General features: G+C 40.6%; 1 protein-coding gene across 1 annotated transcript in view, besides 1 other annotated feature; it reads right to left on the reverse strand.

Moving 5' to 3' along the window:
• The window catches only part of GLIS3 (GLIS family zinc finger 3), a 666,339-nt gene that overhangs the window by 583,867 nt on the left and 55,393 nt on the right, over positions 1 to 27,079 (reverse strand). The window lies entirely within an intron of this gene.
• Positions 16,956 to 17,250: a silencer, noted in NCBI's record as "tiled region #14111; K562 Repressive non-DNase unmatched - State 24:Quies". NCBI's record gives its function as "represses a minimal TATA promoter and a strong SV40 promoter by Sharpr-MPRA in K562 cells {active_cell/tissue: K562}" and the evidence as "EXISTENCE:reporter gene assay evidence [ECO:0000049][PMID:27701403]".

Consider the following 27,079-nt stretch of genomic DNA (forward strand, 5'->3'; position numbering starts at 1 on the left):
CCAATGTATATAAAAAACTGCTCAACATTAATAATCATCAGAGAAATAAATACAAATCAAAACCACAAGGAGATATCGTATGACCCCAGTTAAAATGGCTTTTATCCAAGTCAGGCAATAACAAATGCTAGCAAGAATGTGGAGAAAAGGGAACCCTCGTACGCTGTCAGTGGGAATGTAAATTAGTACAACCACTACGGAGAACAGCATGGAGGTTCCCTAGAAAACAAAAATAGAGCTACCATATGACCCAGCAATCCCACTGCTGAGTATATATCCGAAAGAAAGGAAATCAGTATATCGAGGAGCTATCTGCACTCCCATGTTTGTTGCAGCACTGTTCACAAGAGCCAAGATTTGGACTGTTCTCTATAGAGAATAGAACGATGGTTACCTGGGGCGGTAGGGAGGAAGGTGGGGATGGTTAATGGATATTAAAAAAAAAAAAAAAATAGGCCGGGCACCTTGGCTCAGCCTGTAATCCCAGCACTTTTGGAGGCTGAGGCGGGCGGATCACAAGGTCAGGAGATCGAGACCATCCTGGCTAACACGGTGAAATCCCGTCTGTACTAAAAATAGAAAAATTAGCCGGGCGCGGTGGCGGGCGCCTGTAGTCCCAGGTACTCGGGAGGCTGAGGCAGGAGAATGGCGTGAACCCGGGAGGCGGAGCTTGCAGTGAGCCGAGATCACGCCACCGCACTCCAGCCTGGGCAACAGAGCCAGACTCTGTCTCAAAAAAAAAAAAAAAAAAAAAATAGAGAGAATGAATAGGACCTAGTATTTGATGTCATAACAGGGGGATTATAGTCAATAATAATTTAATTGTACATCTTAAAATAACTAAAAGTATAATTGGATTGTTTGTAACATGGGATAAATGCTTGAGGAGATGGATACCCAGTTTTCCATGATGGGATTACTACACACTGCATACCTGTGCCAAAATATCTCATATACCCCACACATACATACACCCACTATGTACCCACAAAAAATAAAAATTAAAAAATTAAATATATATGTATATATGTATACACACACACTCTTTTAAATTGGAAAAGAAAAAAACAAGGTGTAACTTATCAAATTTCTGTAACTCATAAACCAGTCTTGTATGGGAAATGTTGTAATCCTGTTAAATTTCTTCATTTTCTGCTTATATAAGCAAGACCTTAACTTCTCCTCTTGGAGCACTGAGACCATTCTTTTGGAGTCTGTTGTTACCAGAATGGTTATTATCAGCTTTGCCCTGGAATGAACTCTTTTAAACTGGATTCTGATCCTTTAAATTATTTCAGGTTGACAAAGTAAACTTTAACAGGGCTTAATTGATGAGATGTGAGTGAGGGAAATGGGACGTCAGAATAATGTTCTCCATTTTTTACTTAGGGATGTAGATATTACTATAATATACTTAGATATATTATCTAAAATATTCTAACAATGATCTCCAAACATCACCTTACTAGTATACTTATGGCTCAATTTGCCCTTGTCATAATTACAGGCAGTCTCCTATGTCATTCATTATCAGATGAACACGCTTACTAGTATAATGATAATTATGGAACATACACAATGAGAATGATTGTCACAGGGTGATGTCATAAACAAAGATAATTAGAGAAAATATTGAAAATTCTAGTAATTTCAAACAAATTATGCTTCTAGATGCAAATAGTCATTTGGCTGGGGAATTATTAAATATGGGTTGAAGAAGCAAGGAACAAATGATAAATCACAAACTATCAAAGTGAAAAAAAGGGAATTTCTCATAAAACAAAGATTGTCAAAGAAAAAATGTATTGGTCACAGGAAAAACAAACCTGGACTTGCTTGTTATTGGCTAGTTCCAATTTCAGACGTGGCTACCGGAAGATCCCCCATATCCAAATGCCTATAAGTTATTTTTACTATCTTTTTTGACAGTATACATAAACACAGAAATAATGTGGTTTAAAAACTAGGTTTTGGGAGGTCTGTATGGGTTTCTTTGAGACAGGGCCTCACTCTGTCACCCAGGCTGGAGTGCAGTGGTGAGATCTCAGCTCACTGCAAACTCTGCCTCCCAGATTCAAGTGATCCTAGTGCCTCAGCCTCCTAAATTGCTGGGATTACAGAAATGCACCACCATGCCCGGCTATTTTTTTTTTTTTTTTCTTAAGCAGAGACAGTGTTTTGCCATGTTGGCCAGGCTGGTCTCAAACTGCTGGCCTCAAGCGATCCACCTGCCTTGGCTTCCCAAAGTGCTGGGATTACAGGCATGAGCCACCACACCCGGCCCTGAAAAATTCAGTTCTTTATTAGGGTTTGCATATTAAGAAAAAGCTAGAACAACAGAGAAGCAGTTGTTTTTTCTCTTTAGCATAGAGCTATGGAGAAAAACCATCCTTAATTCTTTAGTTACAGTTGTAGGCCAAAAAGGAAAAAATAAATTATGAAAGTAAAATATTAGGATTTTAAGTATATATAAAGAATTCATGCATCTATTGAAACTATGATTGAAAACATTTCATAAGAATTTCACGTAAATCAGCTAAAATTTTACTGAATTTATTAAAAACTGAAAGAGGTCAGATGGTTGTACATTTGCTTTGATCCAGCACAAAGTTATTTTAACTGCCATGTAGCCTCCATTGTTTTGCATAAATGGATGCTACAGAAATAGCAGCATTAAATTCACTGTTTTAGTGATCAGGGGACGTTGTCAAGGATACTCAACTTTGCATTCATCAGCATTACTCTGATAGGTACTCTTTGGCAAAATTTAGCTCATATTTAACTGCCAGCCAAAGTTGTCCTTCTGAACAAATGGGATATTTTAATCTTACTGATAAGATTAATCTTTAGCTGATCAAGTTCTCTTTTAGTTTTAGCCACCAGGAAGGTCAATGCAGATTTCTGTGGCCCACCTTTAGTCACTGTGAGAAATATAATTCTCACAAACTCTTGGGTTTTTTTCTTAAATTGTGTATGAGCCTAAAAAGGGTTATAATTCCTTATGTAACAACCTTTACACATTTGTAAGAACCAAAACAAGTATGTAAAATTTAACGCAAACAAAATGATAAAACTATTACAATTCATTTAAATAATATTAGTAAACACAACAGATGAAGCCATATTGTCAAAACTGGTTACCACTCACAATGTCCTCTTGAATTTTCGGCCTAATTTTACATGTGTGATGTGATAATTTAATTCACTCACACTTTTTCTCAATTTAAATTACTGTGAAACCTTCACTCCTACAATGTGTTATAATGACTTCTGTCCTTCACTTGGTGCAAACATGCCATTTAGATCTTAGGTCTATCTCTACGCCTTTTTCATTAGTCCACACGACCTCCCAACTGTAAAAAGAAATACAACCTCAGGCACAAAATATTACCGGCAGTACTGGGTTATGAGGTCGTGATACAGATGACCCATAATGTTCTTGTACATATTTTTTAGTTATCATGAAAATCAATATGCAAATGTAGTAAATGCTCACAGAAAACTAGTAATCCCTCAGAATTTATCTGTGTATCCCAGTTTGGGAACCACTAATTTTGGAGATAGTGACATCCATTTTCCCTTTGGTCCCATCTTCTCATTCTGCTTTAATCTTCCATTTGACCTAATTTTTAGAAAATCCATATTTTTGATTTATGGTGCTGTATGCTGTATGGTAGACAACCTTAACTTCTCTTCTGCAACAACAGAATAAAAACTCACAGCTCATGCTCCCAAAGAAATAACCCATGGACAAGTGGCTTACAACACCATCCACCACAGTCTTATGCCGAAGTTTTTGCATTTTTCTCTGCAATCCTCTTCTCCTACAAGCTTTCAATGTGTTCTCTCAAAGTCAGAGAAAGCTAATAAAATAATTTTAAAAACACTTTTGGTTAAAAATACCATTTAACATTTTGGCTCATGTATGGTCCTAACTAGTTTAGATAAAATAATCTGGCCTAATACTAAATGAGTTTTAAACATAGAAAACATTTAAGAGACAGCACACAATCTTAACATGGATATCAAATGAGAAGGTTGTCAAATCCTTTAACAAAATTATCCAAGTCTCTAAACAGCATCTCTGTCCTCAGTGAGTTTCTGAAAATGTCTTGCTCATCCTACCACCCAAATAGCCCAACAGCCAAACTAAAGCTTAGGTGGCACTCTTCCAAGAAGGCATACCTTCAGGCCTAGCAAGGTGGAGGGCTTATCCTGCTATGATAGCTTAATGCTGTAATATGAAATTAAGTTGCGAGAGGTGAACAATGTGACTTTGTTACATTTGGGGGTGTCTACAAATGGGTTTCTTTAACCAAAGTTTTTTAGTGGACTAAAAGTTACCTTAGACTGGCGCCTAAGTTTAGATCTTGAAGCAGACAATTCTTGGGACTAAAAGCATCCAAATCATTAATTCTGAACTAGAGAGTATTCCATCATACCTAGTGTAACCTAAGACACAAGTGGTCTAGAACAGTTAATCTATGTAAGAATGGATATCACCCTTGCATTTGTATCTCTGTGTATTCCCCTGCTAGACTTAGGGACATGGATTTCAGCTTATTCACTGGTATATCCCCAGAAACTAGGATGGTATTTGGCACTGGGTGAAGGGCAATATTTATTATACTTAAATTCTGATAATTGTAAAAAAGCACAAATGTGGTAGAGACTGGCTGTTTACCAAACCCTTACCCCTTTCTTCCTGGGCCAGTAACTAGTCTACATTTCCCAGACTCCCTTCCAGTTAAATTTAGCCATAAGACTGAACCTGACTGGTAGAGAATGGTCAAAAATGAATGTGCCATTTCCAGGCCTGGCCCATAAAAACTTACCAAATGAACCATCCCTATCTCTCTTCCTCCATCTGCCTCTTGTTGTTGGCATCCAGAGTTACCTTAGAAACTAGTGTCAAAGATGAAAGACCTATGTCAGCTTGGATCCCAGGGTGACCACGTGGAGCACAGTCTCTTTCACCAGCCCTTTCTTCCAATTACACTTAATATGAATAAGAAACTTCTGTCTTGTTAGGCTACTGAGATTTAGAGTTTGTCTGTTTCAACATCTAGCACTACCCTAACAAATACAACATGCTCAATAGATGATGCTTTTTGGCTTATTAAAGGCAGGTAATCATAATGTAAAGTGTGCCAAATAGAGTAAGACATGGTCTTGAGTTCTGGATGTGATACCCACTAACTCAGAGATTTTGGATATACATTTAATACCACAATCCCAAATCAGGGTTGTTGGGAAGAATTAAATGAGATTGTATATGGCCATACCCTTGCATAGTGCCTAGCACATTAAATCACACCATTGTGTTTAATATGACTGTAAGAAGTGTCATCTTCTCTGTTTAATAACACATTCTTGGTCTCTTCCAATCTCACGGTCATACTGTTAATCCCTGTTCTAATCAACAGAAGGGTTTCTATAAGAGTTGTACTTGCCTCCTAAGCCTGCACATTTTGAACTCTGGTTATTTTTCAGCTGTGTATTGTCTCAAAGCTGTGCAAGCTCCAGTTTCCACCTCTAAAGAATCATCTTCTCCAGTATATCCTGCTTGTGGGTAATCATTAGCTTGCCAAACTCTTCAGTGCTCTGACATGAAAAGTTCTGTAAAGGGCCCAGATTTGACTCCATGACTTAGGAGGGAACCCTAGTAGCATCCTGAACATTGCCACCCAGACGTTGCATGGCTCCCTAACACGGGGGACTCATTTGAGACCCATGTTCCCTAAGTCTTATACCAGGCAGGGAATGCCTTCCACTGACCATTTTTACCACTACTTAAAAACCCCAAAAGAGCCAGTTTCATTTTTCAAATTATTAACTAAAACCCTGTAAAATTTAATCCAACCAAAAACTTGGATTTTGCTAAATGAGGTTCTGGCTATCCAAATATGGCTTAACTTCACCAGCTTATGGAATTTAACTATACCCAAGGTTATCATATGCATTTACAGACCTGTGGCCAGATGTTTCTTATTTGCAAGCTTAGAAGCCTCAGGCAAGTCAGTGAAAGCCAGAACCATGCCATATTTCTCGGGAAAACACTAAAGACTCATGTACATTTCCTCTGAATCAACTGGAATGTGAAGCTGGCAAAATCAAGATGATCCCCAGCCACAGAGACCATATGAAAGTAACACAAAAGGGTAGAATTGAGAGTCAAAAGGATTAAATACTCAAAATGGCAAGCACTGGGTCAGCCCAGTTCAGAAAAATGTAGCAGGGAAGGACAGATTTTAGATTAGATAATCCAGCATGAGCAAGATTTCTGATAAATGGAAGACATGGCAAAACATGTATGGCCCAGAGGCATTTTTTAAGCACTTCAGAGAAACCGTAACTCAATGTGAGTATGCAGAACTTCAGAAATTAAACTTCAAATCCTAGGCCCAACACTTACCACCTATGTGACAATGGACAAGTTACTTAACCTCCTTACACCTCGGTTGAACCTCAGTTGTCTCAGTGATATTGGGGTGGTCAAACAATTATAGGATTGTTTTAAGGGTTAAAAAAGATTATACCTATATAATGCTGGTGGATAGCTTTTATCCTGCCTGCTTCAGGATTGCCTGGTCATTCTTGATCACTGACTAGACTTTTCAGAACTTTTTTGGGTAACAAGGATTCATTGCTTGACCAATCTGTAGTCAGGTTGCTCAACCACCTCCTCCTAGCCCATCTGTGCACCTCTTTGAAAATTCCAGTCTTAGCAAGAACCCTGCTAAATTGTTTTAGCCAGACTCTCCCATCCTGCATATCTGATCATCCTCAATGTCCAATTTGGTTTCTCATCTTCCACCGTATTCCAGATGATGTCTGATCACCCTGGCTTGTCTTCACCGAGAATCCTGTTAGGTCAGTTTAGCTAAAATCCTCCTTACTCCTGAAGTTTCCTTTTAGTAATTTTCTATCCACTGATCCCCACCCTGCTCCTTAGCTTAAATCCCCACTTGTTCTTGTATTTGGAATTGAGCCTAGTTCTATACAGAGTTCTTTTTTTTCCTATTCCAATAGTTCTAAATAAACTGTTTGAACTGCTTCAACTACTACTCAACTTAGGTTTTCTTTGACACTGGTTAAAATAAGCTTACATTTTCTGAAGGACCTCCTCATCTATCCAGGAGACCTCAGAGACTATGATAGAAGGTGTAAATCCATTGTGTAAATGGATTAGGGATCTGTGAGGATCTTACCACCCCATTGACTCCCTCAGACAAAGTCCTGGTTGCCCATCCTGGATTAGTGGTTAAGTTCTCAGCCTCATCCACTTGGGACCCTTCATTCTCTCACTATCTCAGTCCTGGCAGGGTAAATACATCAGGAACCTCAACATTATTTTTCCAAATGCTCATTACCACGCATTTGACATTTGGTTTGCCAGCCAGTAAATGTTCAGAGTTGTGCACAAGGTCATACTTTGCCTCAGCCTTTCTGGCTTCTAAACAGATGGATGTTAGTCACCAGACACTACAGAGGCATTTTGTTTAGGGCATCTGTTTGCAAATTGCACTTGAACATCACCATCAGCTGGTCTTGTTCTCGGCCACTTCTCCCATACACAAATGAAATTAACAACTCAGATCACATGCAAGCCTGAAAAAATTGCATATTTTGTAATCTTTCTGCTAAGAAACAGTGCAAATGTGACCTTACAACAATAGATTGACCTTTTTGATGTCAAATTCTTTTGAAATTCTTGATCAAAGCTTCAGATTATGTCCCCAGAAAACAGAAACAAAAACAAAAAATCACAGATCATATACATATTTTTTAAAAAATTTTAACTTTTCTTTTTTTTATTAATTAGGTTTTATACCAAAAAGAAATACATACTAATGGAACAGTCAAACAGTTCAGAAGGGTATAAAATAAAATTTCCCTTTGCCTTTACTCTCCCTGAGCCCCACTCCTCAGAAGTAACCACTATTAACAATTCTTTGAATATATACTGCCATTTTAAAAAATACAAATATATTATATACATTGTTTATATATGTAAATATATAGATGTATATATTTATATCTTATATAAGCCGACCTCACTTTGCAGAGCACAGGATCTAATGACTGCACTAACTAAAACCATGCAAAGTGGCCAGGTGCAGTGGCTCATGCCTATAATCCCAGCACTTTGGGAGATCAAGGCAAGAGGATCGCTTGAGCCCAGGAGGTTGAGGCAGCAGTGAGCTGAGATTGAGCCACTGTACTCTGGCCTGAGTGAGAGAGTGAGACACTGTTTTTAAAAAAAAAAAAAAAAAAAAAAAAAAAGCATGCAAATTGATCTTAATATTCAATGGAAAAAATTACAACTGTTCCATCACCTTTACAATTTTTTGTCAAAATTTTAAAACCTCTCTTACTGTTGGTTATAAATGTAAGGGAAAACAAAATACAGTAATATTGCTATGTAGTACACTGTAATATAAAACGTTAGGAATATTGACAAGTATCTTGTTCTAAAAGGTTTATAAAGATTAAACATTGCTTGCCTTCTTTTTGTAATATAAATAATATGAACTATATTTTTTATGCCTTGCTAAATTGTCATATTTCTTTCTAAATTTGGATCAGCTTCCATTATTTTATTCTTTGTACTTTCAGTGTTACAAAGTGACTCCAAGACTTCCTTAAATATGAAGTATTTGGCTGTTTGGCTGGTGTCACTTCCTCTGGGACACCTTCCTCCTTTTCATCACAACCATTTTTCTTATTAAGGTTGACAGACTCGCCTCCACTAAGTTCCTCTGATTGCATATCTAGAGTCTCTCAAATGGCAGCATGGTCAACATTCCCATAGTCAGTTTTTTTTTTTTTTTTTTTTTTTTAGATGGAGTTTCACTCTTGTTGCCCAGGCTGGAGTGCAGTGGTGTGATCTTGGCTCACTGCAACCTCTGCCTCCCAGGTTCAAGCGATTCTCCTTCCTCAGCCTAGTGATTTCTTCTATAACCCCATTTACGCTGACTGTGAATTTATCTGCCAGTGTTATCTCTGTTCCGTTCTTTGTTGGGCTTAATTCCTTCTCTCAATTATGCATTTTTGTAAAACGTCACATGAGTTTAGAGTTTATCACTGGAGACAGGCTACACAATTATACACTTTTCCGTCTATTAGTAAACTGAATAACAAATAGTCGATGACCAATCAAGGGTAGACTTTGAAGGGTATCGATTATTTATATAGTGATTTGTGGACTGAAGAGCCAGTAGTTAAGTTTGTGATTTATCTAAATGACTCACGGTTAACATGCTGTGGTGACTGAATTTGAACTGTGTTGTTGGGGACTGATATTATTTAACTAAAACATGGTAACTGAATTTTGTTCGTATCAAACCATGAAAAGCAAGGACTGTCTCTGTTTGTATATATGTACATTTATACACTTTGAAGATAAATCAATCATATTTTGTATACCATGCTTCACTTTTTTCTACTTAATGTATCTTGGCAGTCTTTTCATATAGTCACGTACCATTATTTGGATGTACCAACACTGACATAACCATTTTCTTTTTGGTAGATATATAGTTTGTTCTTGCTGTTTTGTAATGTCAACCAATGTTGTAATGAACATTCCTATACATGCAATTTGGGGCCCTTGTGTAAATACATCTGTAGGGCGAATATCTTGTAGTGAAATTGCTAGGTCAAAAAAGTGTGCATTTTAAATATCAATAAATTTTGTTGTCCTCAAAAAGGTCATCTAATGTTACATTCTCACTTACATTATGTGAGAATTCCTGTTTCACCAACCAGGTATCATTGAACTTTGTAATCTTTGCCTATCTGATAACAAGCCCAGGACATTTTGCTTGTGACTTTAAAGTGAGTTTTAGGAGCTTCCCCCTTTTCTCCAAATCAAGTTTATTTTTTATTTTGTAATGTGGATTGGTATATCTGTCAATATAGGTTTAGGGGTTGGGGAACAATTGATATTTTCAATGTGACAACTCTTTTTGTGAGGAAACTTTGCACAATATCTAGCATTCCTGGCTCCTGTCCACTAAAACCCGCTAACACCTCCAGTCATTGTGATAATCAAAAAACATTCCACACATATCCATCTTAGGAATGCACTGCCTAATTGAGAAACACTGGGCTAGAGGTCTTAATCTTTTTACTGAGACTTAACAGTCACTCATGAGCCATCCTGAACAAATGTACTGGATATAGCCAGATGTCCTTTGAAGAAGCTATTCTGAAAGTTAAACTCTGCTAGAGATGGCTGAGGCAATTTTTAATTCCACAAATATGTATTGCAAAAAAAGAGACTGGGCTTTAACTATTGAGGTCATTGGCCTCAGGAGGGAAAGATAGACATGCAGATTGTAGCCTTATGCAAGTCACAACATTGCCCAAATGGGTAGGTTAAAATTCGGATGTTACAGGATTTGCTCTATCTGTAAAACCTCTGAACTAAGTATTGGAAATGACTTTGTAAGAATTTGCAAAGACTAGAACAGAAATAAAAGTGGTGTAAAAACATATTGGACCAGGCTGGCCAACATGGTGAAGCCCCGTGTCTACTAAAAATACAAAAATCAGCTGGGCGTAGTGGCAGGTGCCTGTAATCCCAGCTACTCAGGAGGCTGAGGCAGGAGAATCACTTGAACCTGGGAGGCAGAGGTTGCAGTGAGCCGAGATCACGCCACTGCACTCCAGCCTGGATGACAGAGCCAGAGTCCATCTCAAAAAACAAACAAAAAAAAACATATTGGAGAAAGATGTTGATTCCAGAATTGGAGGGAGGAAAAATCTTCATGAAAAACAGTAGTATTTGAGTTGGGTCTTTAAGAAAGAGTAAGATTTCAAGTGGTACAGATGAAGAGAAAAGTATTGTATGTAGGAGGAGCAATGTGAGCCAGGACAGGGGATGGGAACATTCAAACCTTCTTCAAGTTGCTGCCCTGCATGGTAGAAATGTAGACTGTGAAGTGCAATCAACTCAAGATAAGGCTAGAGATGGTGGTGGAAACCGAATTGCTGAATCTTTTGGAAATATGACACAGGCCTTGCAATCTGTCATTAAGCAATTAGATTAAAATCCAATAAATTACAAAATACACCATTGCTGAGAGCTGGAATTTTAAAATATCTCAGAATTAGTTCATGAGTTTTGCTTTCTGACGTCAAATATGAGAAATTTGTGCTCCCTTTCTCTCCCAAATGTTTAATCCTTCTGATTACATCAGGGAGAAAGACTCCACTAGGTGCTCATCTGGGTTGAACAGCTGCTAATCTCTTTTGAACAAAAAGCACGAGCCACAGTGTACCAGTTTGTTCTTGCATTGCTACAAAGAAATACCTGAGACTGGGTAACTTAAAAAGAAAAGAGGTTTAATTGGCTCACCGTTCTGCAGGCTGTACAGGAAGCATAATTCCGGCATCTGCTCAGTTTCTGGGGAGGCCTCAGGAAACCTACCACGAAGGCGGAAGGCAAAGTGGGAGGAGCAAGAGAGAGGGAAGGGAGGTGCTACATACTTTAAAACAACCAGCTCTGGCCAGGTGCGGTGGCTCATGCTTGTAATCCCAGCATTTGAGGAGGCCGAGGCGGGTGGATCACTTGAGGTCAGGAGTTCAAGCCAATATTGTGAAACCCCATCTCTACTAAAAATACAAAAATTAGCCGGGCGTGGTGGTCCACGCCTGTAGTCCCAGCTACTTGGGAGGCTGAGGCAGGAGAATCGCTTGAACCCAGGAGGCAGAAGTTGCAGTGAGCCGAGATCACGCCACTGCACTCCAGCCTGGGAGACAGAATGAGGCTCTGTCTCAAAAACAAACAAACAAACAAACAAAAACAAAAAACAACCAGATCTCATGAGAACTCACTCACTATCTCAATGACATTACCAAGGGAGAAATCTGCCCCCATGATCAAATCATCTCCCACCAGGCCTCACCTACCACATTGGGGATTATTATAATTGAACATGAGATTTGAGCAGGGACACAGAATTAAACCGTATTACCCAGGTTGAGCACCGTCTACAGGGATCTGAACAGAAATACACTGAGAGTAGTTATGGGGAATTTAGAGCAATGTCCTGAAGCCTGGCTGTTGAAGGCTATCAGCTGTGGTGCTCACTCCTGGAGAGGGGTCCAGGCATGTGTGGTTCAAAAAAACAAAATCACTCCCAGGTAATTCTAATGGGCAACCAAAATTGAAAACCACAGATTCTCAAAGAATCACTGAAGAGGGGGCCACATGGAGAGGAAGATGCAATTTGAGAATCAAGTCCACTGAGTGCCACATTTGCAGAATAGGCCAGGAGTTTTAAGGAGTTTAAAAAGAGGGGACATCATTTTCTTCCATCACTGAAGCCATATTCTATTACCTTGAGTATCTTATCTGAGACCATGTATATCCCACTAACCTAACGAGAAGAAGGATAATTAGATGATTATCTAGCTAGACAAGCATCTTGAACCTCAAACCATTACTCGTAAGGTGCTGTGATCCAAGGAAAGTATAATTAGTCACCACTTAGTATCACGTTAAGCAAGCCAATAAACTCGGGGGTAAGGCAGGTGGGGAATACCAGAGCATGTTTACCATTTGATCTGCTTGTTTTCTCTCCCTAATGTTTAATCCTTCTGATTACGTCAGGGAGAAAGACTCCACTAGGTGCTCATCTGGTTGAACAGCCGCTGATCTCTTTTGAACAAGAAGCATGGGGCCCCAGTGTACTAGTCCATTTTTGCATTGTTACAAAGAAATACCTGAGACTGGGTAAATTACAAAGAAAAGAGGTGATATTACATAGGTTGAGTATATAACATAGAAAGATGGATTGCACCTTGCAATTACAATAAAACTAGTCCATGTATAACATCTAGTTATAATAGCCACCTGAAATTGTTATATATTTTCCCCAAGCTATTTATATCTCCCCCATTAAGAAATAGAGCCTTCATTTTTGTAGCACTTGCATGAATATTTATTTATTCTGGTCTTAGAAAGCATTCCAAAATTTTAAAAAAGTGTCTGCTACCAAAGTTGCACGTTCGCTTCTGCACTGCTGACATATTAAGAATTTTTCTGAGGCATTGAATAGTGAATTTGACATCTTCACCAGCACTGAGTTTCCCTTTAATTACTGTCAGTGACTGCTGACTTGTAAAGCACTGTGAAAGCAATAATCTACATAGCAGTGGTCTTTCCAGTTGATATTCATGAAAGGCTGAAATAATCTCTGTCATATGACAGGACCAGCTTACTAGTGAGCCTGCTATCCCACAGGACTCTCTCGTCCCACAGGACAGGAAAGGGGGTCCATCCAAGACAATTCACCAAGGGCAGGTGGTGAAGGCAAGCCTGGTTCCAACTGAAAGATGCTGTCAAGCAAAAGACATTGGCTAATAAAAGCTGCTGATGCTGCTATGAAAAAGGAAACCAAAGACAGCCCAAAGAGAAAGCTGGCTGGTCTGATGGAAGTCCCAATGCACTGATCCATCATACCTGATCAATTACAGGTGGTGTTTGTCTCTCTCAGGTTTAGCGGCGTTTCATCATTCAAATACTTATTCAGTGTTAGTTGTGGGTGAGGCACTCAATGGATTTCACCAGAATAAAAAGGACCTCACCCAAGATACAGTTGTCACTGGAACCGGCAGGGGAAGAGGGTGCTCTCATTTATTACTGCATAGCTCACTGCCTTGTCTGCAGAATTCACTCATTCATTCAGCAAACTTGTTCTGAGAATAGTGTTAGACACAGAAAAGTCCCTTCCTTTCTTCCATTCACAAATATGTAAAGAGTACCAACTATGTCCTAGGTGCTAGTGTTAAAATAGTGAACCAAACATAAGTGATATATTCTACTGCGGGAATTCTTAACCTAGGATTCAGGGATGCCCCCTAGAATGCATGGATCAGCTTCAGGGAGTCATTAAACATGAGTAGGAAAACAATCAGATGTTTATTTTCAGTCATCTCTAACTGAAATTTAGCATTTTACTCAATTGTGAATGCAGGCAACAAACCACAGCAGTAAAAAAGGTCCTGTGCCTCTGTCACCAATAGAAACCACAGACATGTTCATATCAAGTTACAGTGTTTGCAGATTTCTCAAAAAGTCAATTGTGTCCATCACCGCTCAAGAATTATGGTAGGTTTAAATCTTCCACCAGATTTTGTGTTAATGAAAAAGCACATATGTAACCATATCATAAATTTGTATTTCAACACTTTGATGATTGTATTTCAGTATAATTGGTCTTCTTCATAATCCTATGTGTTTTATTTTATGCATTGTTCTGAGAAAGAGTCCATAGGCCTCATCAGATAACAAAGCAAACCTTGGCACAAAATGATTATGAATCCTTGTCCTAGTAAGACAGACAGGCCTTAAATAAATAATCTTACAAATACATACTTACAGACAGTGCTAAGATCTCTAAAGAAAAAGTCCATGTATGTGAGATGATAAAAAGAAGACATGGTTTCCCCAGGATTTGGGGTTAGTGGGCTACCCCCAGGAGTCTAGTGGGATCCACCTGGATTCTGTTTCCCCTGGAAAATATCACATTCTGCTGCAGTCAACCAGTCCATAAAAAATATCAGTTACATATCTCTCCTGTGCTAGGTCCTATATGAGCACTGGGGACACAACATCTCTGCCTGCCAGTCTACCGGGGGAAGTCAGAGCAAACCACACATGAGGAAATACAAATCTCAGATAAGCTCAGTTAGAGATCAGAGCCCTGAAGAAAGTGAAGCAGGTTAATGAGATAAAGTGTGAAAGTCAGGGAGTGCTGGGGGCGGGGCAGCCCAGGGAAGGTCTCTTGCAGAGGTGATATTTGCACTGAGACCTAGAGGAAGAGATTTGGGGGATACATTTAAGACACAAGGCAAAGACCCTGAGATAGAAAAAGTAAACCCTCAGTTCCTTTGAACCCCAGGACCCAGACTTCTTAAACAGTGGTCATTGTTGCCTTGCTATGCCCTGTTTTTGGAGAAAGAAGCACATCACAGGAGTCAAAAGAGAAAATTAGGTGTGTTCTAAGGGTCAGGTGGACAGAAGGGGTCAGAAGCAGCAGTGGGGACATGGATCGAGTGCCTGAGTATATGCCTCCATAGGTGGGGTCCCCTGAAAAAGGTCAGGGGACCCTCCCTACCTCTGGGCAACTCCGATCATTTCCCAGCCCAGTTCATCACCATCTGCCTTTTAAACAACAAGTGCCGATTATCAGAGAACCTCCTCAGGTCTGGAGAGGATCCACAAATATTTGTCATCTGACGTCACAGACCCCAAGACCCCTAATTTTCAGGGAGCTGAAGCTGAAACTAAACTCCACCACACGGAAGGGCGGCTATTTCCCTCTGAGTTGCATCTTAGTCTTAGCTCCCAAGGCCTCCTGGTGGGCACAAGAGTTCTACTCAACCCATCTTTTCCCAGCTGGATCCAGAGAAAGCTACTCATTCCCCCAACTTCCCACACCCCTCCCCCAGACCTTTAGAAAAACCACTCTCTTTCCCAATGAAAAATGACACCAAAGCTCCTATCTGGCAGCAGCCTACAGGACATCACTTATACCTTATTAAAACCCACAAAAACCCTCTCTAGCAGCTATTAAACAAGCTCGTATAAGGGATTTATTTTTGAAAAACCAATAATTTCTAGAGGATATCACAAGGTCACAGAACGTTCAGCCCAATGCCCTATAATAAATATTGGCTAAGTTATTGCACAAATGCCATAAGGGGTACATGGAATCATTTTTATTAAAAATGAGCCAACTGCTTCTATCAGGCTATCTTTCCTGGTATTTCTAGACCTTCGGCTACCTTATTCTTGTTCATAACATTCACACAAACACATACTTATAATGTCAGAAGAAAATCAGTGAATATTTTGCATCTCTTATAAAACATTGCTAAACTTTAATCTGTAGTGAGGTGGGAAATGTGAGCTGATGACCAAACAATGACCCTAATCCACCACAAAATAGTGCAAACTTAAAGAAAATATAAATTCCATCTATCACACTTAACTTGAATGAGGTCAGGAAAAAGAATTGGTAAATGTTAGAAATATTCCCTAAAATCAATTGAAGCAAAGGGATTTTGACAGAAAGTTCAATTACAAGAAAACTCCCAATATCCTTGAATTTCCAGTGAACCATCAGTGTAAAAGTTTTTCTTTTTTAAGTGATATTTCAAAAGAAGCCTATGAGGTAGCAGGAAGAACTTTGGACTTAAAATCAGTTGATGTAGGTTCCAGAGCTAGCTCTGCCCCTGATTTTCTTCATGACCCCAACCTGTTTTCACTGTGTATTTTTAAGTCTCTATGGGCGTCTGTTTCCCTATCTGTGAAATTATGCAGTTAGAAGGAACACCTTTTAAGCCCTCTTGAAGCTGTAAACCACTATGAATCTCTGCCTCTTTAATTAGAATAGGCCTGTAAGTACCAGGCAACAGATTCTAGCCTAGATTCCTAACAGGAGTATGACCCGAGAAAATAATCTTTAAAGGTCTAACGTGGTCTCTTAGAGAATACTTGATTATTGCAACATTCACTGGGAAACTGTAGCAGATAGTGGATTTGCTTTTGTTTTTGTTTGTTTGTTTGTTTTTGACAGAATTTCGCTCTGTCATCCAGGCTGGAGTGCAGAGGCATGATCACACCTCACTACAGCCTCAAACTCCTGGGTTCAAGGGATCCTCCCGCCTCAGCCTCCTGAGTAGCTGTGACTACAGGCACTTGCCCTCATGCCTGGCTAATGTTTTTTATTTTATTCATTGTAGAGACGGGATTTTGCCATGTTGCCCAGGCTGGTCTTAAACTTCTGGGCTCAAGTGATCTTCCTTTCAAAGCACTAGGATTAAAGGTGTGAGCCACTGTGCCCAGCCCATTTTTTTTTTTTTAATTAGAGATTTTCTGATGAAAAGAATACACTGGGCATTATATTTGTGGCCAACGTGTTCTGGACAGTGAAATGTAAACAGGCTGAAACTTGAGGCTTCTGGGGAAGTGTCCTTAAAAGGAAGGGAGCTCCCGTATTCCCCTCTTCTTCCTTCCTCTGTGCTGGCATATGAACACAATGACTGGAAGCTGAGGAGTCATCCTGGATCATGAAGCAGCCCCCGAAGTTTAGAAGAAAAACAAGCCAGAAGGAGCCTGGGTCCCTGCTCATCTGGAATCAGTTGCCAAAACAGCCCTTATTGCCCAACTCCAGATCTGATTTACATGAGAGCGATATAAATTTTTATCATGTTTAAGGCACTGCTGTCCTGAGTTTTCTGTCACATGCAGAGAGTCTTAATCCTAAGTAATATACACAAGACTGTTTCCCTTTATCAAAGATATCATTATGCAAAATATGCCACTAATGACCAAACCAGCCTCTACCACAGCTATTTCCATGAATCAAAGGATTTGCCTGGAGACCCTGTTTTCATCTCTGGCATATCTGCCTTCCTGCCCTCAGTCACCTCAGCTGGTATTGGGAATGGCAGGGCCTGCCAGGCAAGTGTTGAAATGATGTGACAAAGAGAAGGAAATGAAGGATTTTCTCATAGGCTTTGCCCACAGATTGCCTCATTCTCAAGACTGCTTCCTTGCTGAGTGACTCCAGTGGGTTGGGTTTGCAATGCAATGGGTAGAGATCCTTCCAGACAGCTGTCATCTGCCTGGAAACTTCAGCTTCCTAATACTCTTGTAAACCTCCTGGGACAGAAGCTCCAGTTCCTGCTGACACCTCACATGAGATGTGCCTTTACCTAGTACCACCTGCTCGGGACTGCCCAGCAGGGTAGCCTGCAATCCCAGGGCAAAGGTGAACACCAAGCAGGCCTCCACTGATGCACAGCGGTGGTATTTCCCTGGGAAGTTTTACTTGTGAATCTGGAACTTAAACTCTCAGTTCTGACTTTTGCACAACATTGGTTCCAGTTCCTCAGTCCCAGGAAGGCCCCAGAAAGATGGGTGCTGACTCTGTGCTCAGAACAGTGGTTTGCAAAGGGTATTTGATCAAGTACCCTTAGAGAAACTGAGGCATCTTATGAACAATCTTCCTCGACAAAAAACACATACGTTCATGCAATGCAAAACTTGGCCCACAATTTCCTGAGGTGCCAAGCGCCCTGACACCCATCCATGAGTCCAGAGCCCCCAGGTTAAGAAGCCTTGCCTTTGAACTCCAGAAAAGATTTTAAAACCTCCAAAGTCATCTGATTTCCTCCTTGGGATAAATGCCCCACTACTGCTCCCAAACAGAGAGTAGGCTGAGTCGATTTTAGAAGCTTCAGTTGTTCATAGGATTTACTGTTTTTATGACCAACAGTGAGAGAAATGTCACTTGTCTCTTCCCCACCTCCTGCTCCAAAGGTCTTCATCTGAAACTTAAGTCCCAACCAACTCTTCTTTCCTCCTTTATCTCACATTCAGCCACGTTGAACTGTTTATTTTCAGTTTCCCAAACATGCAGTGGTGCCTTCTTCTGCCCTCTGTCTCTGCTCAGGCAATTTCCTACTCCTAGGACACCTCTTTGCCCATCACTATTTGTCAGAATATTACTCATTCTTTAAGACTGTGTAAAAACAGATTTCTCTATAGAGCTTTTCCTGAGCCTTCCTTTGTGCACACAGCCTGAGCTTGAACATCTGTTCCAGAACATATCACCATCCATCATGGATTATTTGGGCAACCATATAGCAAAATATTTGAACCTTTGAGGTCTGAAACTAGAATGATTGGGTTTCAGTCCTGGCTCCATCTCTTTCTTGCTGTGTGACCTTGTGGATGTTTAACTTTTCTGTGCTTCAGTTCCGTCATTGGTAAAATGGAGACAATAATAGCTCCCACTTCACAGAGTTGTGTAAGGATCAAATGACCTGATCCAAGTAAAAGTCTTAGCACAGTCCCTGGCACACTGAAAGCATCTGATAAGGAATTATTACTTTGACTTCAGTTACTTATACACTTTTGCCCACACCCATTACAGTTAAACTGTAGAGTGGATGAGGACAGAGAGTAGAGCCCATGTCTTAGTCACCATTTTGTATCTGATAGAACCTAGCAAACAAATTTTGCACATAGTAAATAATCAGTGTATGATATGTGAATGAAAGTGAATTATCCATAAAAGTTTTATCTAAGAACTTCAGACAGTAGTGTTGCCATCTATATTTTATGCATGGGTGAGAGGCGATGGAACAGTAAGTTGGATGCTCCATTGAGAATACAAATCATTCTGGGGTTTGGAAAAACCATCCTGATTGCAATTCTGTGTCCCAATCACAGAATTTTTATATCATCGTGAAGCATATGCCAAGAACTCCCCTCTTCTCCACTTATAATTGTTTCCATTTCAATTCAATGACACAGACATTTATTTAGCAACTATTAGATGCCAGACACTGTGGTAAGGGGTGGGAATCAGAGATGTCCTTCTGAAGGTCTTGCAAAGCAACTTCCATCTGACATCAAACTTCAAGTTCAGCACCCAGGATGTATACACACTCTTATATTCCTTGAGCCTGAAGCCCAGTCCCAGATAACAACTGGTCTGCAGGATTTCCCTGCCATGTGACAAGAGATGCATACTTACGTCAAATGGCAGAAAAGTGGCTGGGCGCAGTGGCTCACACCTGTAATCCCAGCATTTTGGGAGGCTGAGGCAGGGGGATCACTTGAGGCCAGGAGTTTGAGACCAACCAGGTCAACATGGTGAAACCCTGTCTCTACTAAAAGTACAAAAAGTAGCCAGGTGTGGTGGTGTGCACCTGCAATCCCAGCTACTCAGAAGGCTGAGGCACAAGAATCGCTTGAATCCAGGAGGCGGAGGTTGCAGTGAGCCAAGATTGTGCCACTGCACTCCAGCCTAGGTGATGGAGCAAGACTCCATTAAAAAAAAAGAAGAAGAACAATTAGAAAATAATTATACTAATATGTGTAGAAAATTTACTAGACTGCTTCTGACCACCCAGACCACTGAGTTGACATAAACAGGCCCCTTACTACACAGAAATCCTGAACAAAATATAGAAAAAATATTTTCCACATAACCAAGTTCAATCAGAAAAAAAGAAATTTCCAGTGCCGGGAATAGCATGAAATCAAGTCAGAGGAATAAACATGAGCTGATAACAGGAGGAGGCCATGGGAGTTTCAGGTGGCAATATGGACCCCTTAGGGAAAGGGAGCTACATTTCTCATGCCTACCAAAAATAATAATAATAATAATAAGGCCAGGTGTGGTGGATCATGCCTGTAATCCCAGCCCTTTGGGAGGTTGAGGCGGGCGGATCACTTGAGGCCAGGAGTTCAAGACCAGCCTGGCCAACATGGCAAAACTCCATGTCTACTAAAAATACAAAAATTAGCCAGGCTTGGTGGCATGCACCTGTAGTCCCAGATACTTGGGAGGCTGAGGCACAAAAATTGCTTGAACCTGGGAGGCAGAGGTTACAGTGAGCCAACATTGTACCACTGTACTGTACTCCAGCCTGGGTGACAGAGTGAGACTCTGTCTCAAAAAAAAAAAAAAAAAAAAAAAATTCAGGCCTAAAGAAGGGAAAGAATGAAATTGAGCTATCTGCATAAACAAGCTATTATGTGTGGTTTCAGAGGGCTAAAAAAACATTCACCAATGAAAATCAAACTACGATCTTATACTACCCACAAGTCTGGGGCCTTAATTTATAAAACCTTCATGGTGTGGAACCTTAAACTGATAATTTAACATAGTATATAGGGTCATTCAAAGCCCTAGGAATCCCGCAAAAGCCAAAGCAAGATATTTCTATAGAGACATTGAGAGACCATCTCCTCTTGGTTGTTGCAAAGGCACTTTTAGCTAAAAGGGAAATCATTCCTGCCTACCAAGCCTGTTCATCTGCCAATGCACCCTACTCACAAATGGCACCACTTCCCATTAAGGCACATGAGTTGTCCCTGACACCCCCATACCAATTCATCACTAAGGCTAATTAATTTTACTTTCTAAATATCTGCCCACTCTGTCCATTTCCAAAACCTCATCCTAGTTCAAACCACTATCATCTCTCACCAGTCTCCTAACTGGTCTACCCTGCATCCACTCTATCAGGTGGTACCATATAAAATTGCTATCTTGTAAGTCAAAACCAGCCTGGAAGTGGCAGTTCCATAGCATTCAACCTAATATTTCCTCCCATCTGATGTCCTCACTCCAGATAGAGTTACCTTTTCATGAAGGAAATTTTATCATGTTGCACCTACCCCTCGCTGAAATCTTCTGTGGCTTTCCCGCTATTCTTAAGATGATAAAGTTCCTGAACATCACCTGCAATGCCATTTGGCCCCTACCTCCCTCTCTCCAGCCTCATGCCCCCAACTCTCCCTTATTCCCCCTTCTCTTGACCCACCGGATTTCTTCTAGTGCCTTGTGTTTTCTATGTTTTCTCTTCCCACAGAGCCTTTGCACATGTGGCTCTCACTGCCTAGAATATTATTTTCACTCCTCTTCAACTGAACAATTTCTTCTTACCTTCAGATCTCAACTTAGCAATGCTCTCCACAAGAGCCTTGTCTGACCCCCTGGCCTTGTTAAGAATCTTGTCACATGTTCTCTTAATGCTAAGGTGATCCACTTCATAGTGCTTGACCCCATGACAATTTTACATCTATGTGTATGACTATTTGATTAGTTCTGCGTCCCCCAGTAGCACTGCAAGGTTCATGAGGATAGAGACTGAGTCTGTTTTCACCAAACATTGAATCCCCAGCTCTGTGTCAGACACAGAGTAAGTGCTCAACGTAATTTAAAATTATGGAATGGAGAAGTGACGAAACTGTATGCAGGTGACCAAGGTGGAGACTGATGCAGTGGCCCTACAGGAGAAGATGAGAGCCTGAAACTAAAGCGGGTTTTTCATGCATTACCTTGGATAACCTTCTAAACACTCCATCTTTTGTTTTAGGCATTTTATAAAAAAGGAAACTAGAGACATCAAATAACTTGTGTTCAGGGTCACATAATGGTAGATCTAAGATGCCAATCCAGGTTATCAGAATCCGAAATCTGTCCTCTTTCTATTAAACAAACAAACAAACAAACAAACAAAAACTTTGAGGCAAGCAGAGGAGACAACAAGGAGCCCGGGAATGAGATCCAGGAACTCTGATGCCTACAGATGTCAGAAAAGTAATGTAAAAACCAGCAGGCCCGGGCTAAGATAAGAGAGGGCATTGGAAACCACACCAAGCTAGAAGGTGCATGCATGCCTGTCTAATTCTAGCTCCAACTTATCATTAATGCATGAGAATATGGGTCCAGTATTTTTAGATCATCCTATGTTTTTTAGAGAAGTTCAAAGCTGCATTTTTGTGTGAAATCATTCTGATTTTGAAACACTATATGGGTCACACATAACATATCTGCAGGAGGAATGTGATACCATTTTGCAGCTCCCCGTCTAGACAAATAGGAGATCAGCAGAGAAGCTGCACTGTTGCCAGTAGTCACCTATGCCTATGTCTTTCGTGCAAAATATTTGGGCAGGGCCCTCATAAATAATCTTAGCAATAGTTATCCAACTTGAACTTTGATGATTCCATGAAACTGAGAAGCTAAGATCAGTTAATTTATAACTGGCTTTATGGTTTCAAGATCACTATGTTCTGATAAATCAAAGAACAACTAGCAAGAGGATAGATATCTTCATTCTGTTATCCCTAAGGAAGGCCATGGGTTAGGAGCCCCAATGGCCACTGGAGAATGTGTAAATTACTGACAATGCTATTCTCCTTTCAAAAAAAAAATACAATCCAAAGATAAGCAGATAAATGCTGTTAACTTAATTCAAATTCCAACTAGGACATTGAGTCACTTCCAGCATGCCAGAAATCAGGGGAAAGTTCATGTTTATCTCTGGGTTCATTTCCCCAGCATTTCTCATTAAAGAAATAAAAGGTTGTCACAAACTGCTCTTTCAAGAGAGAAGCTGTGAGAAGTGAATATCTGCTCCTCAGTTTCAGTTCCTCTAACTCTGGAAGATCCTGGCACACAGAAGAGCTTCACACATTTTCTCAATCTTTCCTTCCTCAGTTGAATCCCAACCAAGTATATGGATCAGAAATTGTTGGGCCTTTTTTCCTACCGTTCTTACTGACTCAGTTAAATCACTAGCAACTCAATCGCCACACCCTTCATGAAAGTTATTTTGTGGAGCACATTCCTGTTTTGAGTCTTAGAATTTCCCTTATCCTCTTCTAATTTTAAAAGGCCTTTGATGCCAACAGAATAACTTAGCAGCAAACTTCACATATTCGTGAATCATGGAAAGAGGAATTGTTTGGTTGCCATCCAGATAGTTAGCATCCTTACTTCGCTCTTGTATTAGTGAAGCCAGGCTACCTACTGGAAAAAATAACTAGGAGATTTTGGTGTATTAACAGAATAAAAACTTGTTTCTCACTTCTATTACAGTTCAGTGTAGATTGACTGGATTGGGGAAGATGAGGAGTTTTGCTCCATGTAGTCAATCAGGGAGTCGGGATCTTTTCATCCTGTGGTTCCACCATACTCTTAGTCCAGAGGCTGGCAAATGTTTTCTGTAAAAGGCCATATAGGGCCAGGCATGGTGCCTCATGCCTGTAATCCCAGCACTTTGGGAGACCAAGGCAGGTGGATCACTTGAGATCAGGAGTTCGAGACCAGCCTGACCAACATGGTGAAATCCCATCTCTACTAAAAATACAAAATTAGCCAGGTGTGGTGGCACATGCCTGTAATCCAAGCTACTCAGGAAGCTGAGGCAGGAGAATCCATTGAACCTGGGAGGTGGAGGTTGTAGCGAGCCTAGATGGCACCATTGCACTCCAGCCTGGGCAACAAGAGCAAAACTCCATCTGAAAAAAAAAAAAAAAAAAAGCCATATAGTAAGTATTTTAGGCTTTGTGTGCCCTATGGTCTCTGTCACAACTATTTAACTCTGCCACTGTAGCACAAAAGTAGCCATAGGCAATATGTACATGAATGGGCATGGCTGCATTCCAGTAAAACTTTTTTTACAAAATCAGGCAGCAGGACCGATCTGGCCTGTGAGCCACAGTTTGCCGACTTCTGCTCTCAAACCTTGTCCTCCTGTGCATTTGGCCAGTCAGTAGAGAAAGGGAGAGCACCATGGAAGAGGCACATCTGAAATGCATGCCTATCCCCATATAATTTCATGATGATTATGCTAAACAATGTTTCTAAAGTGCCTCGTACAAAGGTCAGTGTATAGGAGTTGCCAATAAATGACAACTGTCATCATTTTTAAATGATAAAGTACCTTTAGTACTTACAGGAAGAAGTGATCATGTTTAATTGATCAGGAAAGGCCATAGTTGATTCTTAAAGCTAGGGTAGGATCTTAACAAACAGAAGTGGGGGGACAGCATGAGCAAATGTATAGCAGCAAGAAAGCGTTGTAGGCTGAGTAAGCGCATGTAGTTCAGTTTGGCCATAACACAGCTAGGTGGAGCAAGGTGAGAGGTAAGTCTGGAAAGGTAAGAAGGCCTCAAACACCATGTTTAAAGTTCGGATGTTCAGCAGCAATAGGGACCCATGTAAATTTGGTGAGAAGTATATACACAAGCCTTGTGTTCCAAAAATCTGTTTGTAAATTCATTGTTTGAAAAACAGACTATATTTTTTTATTTCCTTTTTTTTTTTTTTTTTTTTGAGACAGAGTTTTGCTCTGCCACCCAGGCTGGAGTGCAGTGGCACAATCTTGGCTCACTGTAAACTCCGCCCCCTGCGCTCAAGTGATTCTCCTGCCTCAGCCTCCCGAGTAGCTGGGATTATAGGCGCCCGCCACCACGCCCGGCTAATTTTTGTATTTTTAGTAGAGATGCAGTTTCATCACGTTGCCCAGTCTGGTCTCGAACTCCTAACTCCAGGTGAGCCACCCGCCTCATCCTCCCATCCCTCCCTGTGCTGGGATCACAGGTGTGAGCTACCACACCCAGCAACACAGACTATGTTTTCTAACACAGGGTAAGCAATGGGAGTTCAAGTCCCAGACTGGTTCACGGAAACCTGCCTCCCAGGTGTTTATAACCCTTACCTATCTGCAAAGGAGAATTGTTTTACTCAACCAACATGCCCAGAAAATACTTCAGTTATCGAGCTATATAAATGTTGCTCTGATTATCATGATCTTAATCTAAAATGGCCAGGCGCTATGGCCCACGCCTGTAATCCCAACACTTTGGGAAGTTGAGGCAGGCAGATCACCTGAGGTCAGGAGTTTGAGACCAGCCTGGCCAATATGTTGAAACCCTGTCTCTACTAAAAATACAAAGATTAGCTGGGCATAGTGGTACACACCTGTAGTCCCAGCTACTTGGGAGTCTGAGGTGGGAGAATCACTTGACCCCAGAAGGCAAAAGTTGCAGCAAGCAGAGATCGCACCACTTCACTCCAGCCTAGGTGACAGAGCGAGACTCTGTCTCAGAAAATAAAATATAAATAAATAAATAAAATGAGCTTTCATAGGAGAAGTTTCTCAGTTAGCACATACAGAGATTTATAGCCAACTACTAAAATTCCTGGAAGGGTGTACCATGATAAAATATGGACTCCGTTTTTTGCCAACTCATTTGGATACTGAGAAATGATTTGCATAAGGTGAAACTATGAAGTCAGAAATATGTTTAGCTAGGCCTTCGTTTCTAGATCCCTAAAAAGAACTACTTATCTCTAAGTGATGCAAACCTGTTGGGCTTCCTTGTCAGAGCCCATCTGTGTTGAAAGCTTGACTTTGGCTGGCTTTTGCACAGAAATCCCTGCTTCCACTTGCTAGTGGTGTAATTTGTTCTGATATTCAAGAGTGGTTGGCGGGGCGCCGCTGCTCATGCCTGTAATCCCAGCACTTTGGGAGGCCAAGGCAGGTGGATCATGAGCTCAAGAGTTAGAGACCATCCTGGCCAACATGGTGAAACCCCATCTCTACTAAAAATACAAAAAATTAGCTGGGCGTGGTGGCACAAGCCTGTAATCCCAGCTACTTGGGAGGCTGAGGCAGGAGAATGGAGTGAACCCAGGAGGTGGAGGTTGCAGTGAGCCGAGATTGCGCCACCACACTCCAGCCTGGTGACAGAGTGAGACTCTGTCTCAAAAAAAAAAAAAAAAAAGAATGGTCTACCTAAATTGCAATTGTGTAGAACGCCTCAGAATTGGGTACTCAGGCCAATGCCACATTCTAACATTTAATGTATATAGTTATTTATCCATGTATTTATTCCACATATGTTTTATATATTTCCAAGCACCTGCTGTATGCCAGATGCTCTACTGGTGTTAGTGGTAGTAGAAGTAGTCTGTGGGAGTCAGATCTGAAACAAGCATTAACATGACAATATTATAATTTATTTTATGACAGTATGTCCAGGTCAAAGTGGTACGTAAGAAAAGAAGCACCTAAAACTGTCTATGGGCTCAAAAAAATCTTTCCTAAGAGATAATATCTGAGCTGAGACATTAAAAATAATAGAAGCTTTGGGGAGAATGAGAAAATAGCATCTCAGGCAGGGAAACCAGCAGATACCCAAAGCACGTGATTATGGAGTGTTGTGTATATTCAATTAATGTTTGCTGAGGGGGTGATAGGTGGGTGAGTGGATGGATGAATGGATGGATACATGGAGGTGAAGAAACCTTCTCTAGAGGTGTGTATTTTCCAAGACTCCCCTCAATCCAGATGTAAGCCAGTTCTTCTTCCTTACAGATCTCCAGTGTGTCTTGAAGTTTGATTCCAACTTCCCCAGAAGACATTTAACTTTTCTCACTCCATTAAGTTAAAACTTAAAAATCCTGACATTGAGGAGGTTTCATTCTAATGCCCATTTTAAGCAAGTGGGATGCTGACTACAACCCATGTGAGACCAGTGCTGAGCTGGGTGCTAGAGAGAGAAATTCAAAGAAGATGTGATCCGGGCCACCAATAAATTATCACCTCACTGGAGAATCAAGAGTTATACTCAAGAAATAAAACAAAGCTGTCAGGTACCAAATTGTATGATTTGGACTCAAAGTTGTACAAGAATTTGGGTTGTTCACAATCATTAATACAGCAGAAGCTTCAACGTTTGTCT

Source organism: Homo sapiens, chromosome 9 (genome assembly GCF_000001405.40).
Source record: "Homo sapiens chromosome 9, GRCh38.p14 Primary Assembly".
In the NCBI taxonomy this organism is placed as follows: domain Eukaryota; kingdom Metazoa; phylum Chordata; class Mammalia; order Primates; family Hominidae; genus Homo; species Homo sapiens.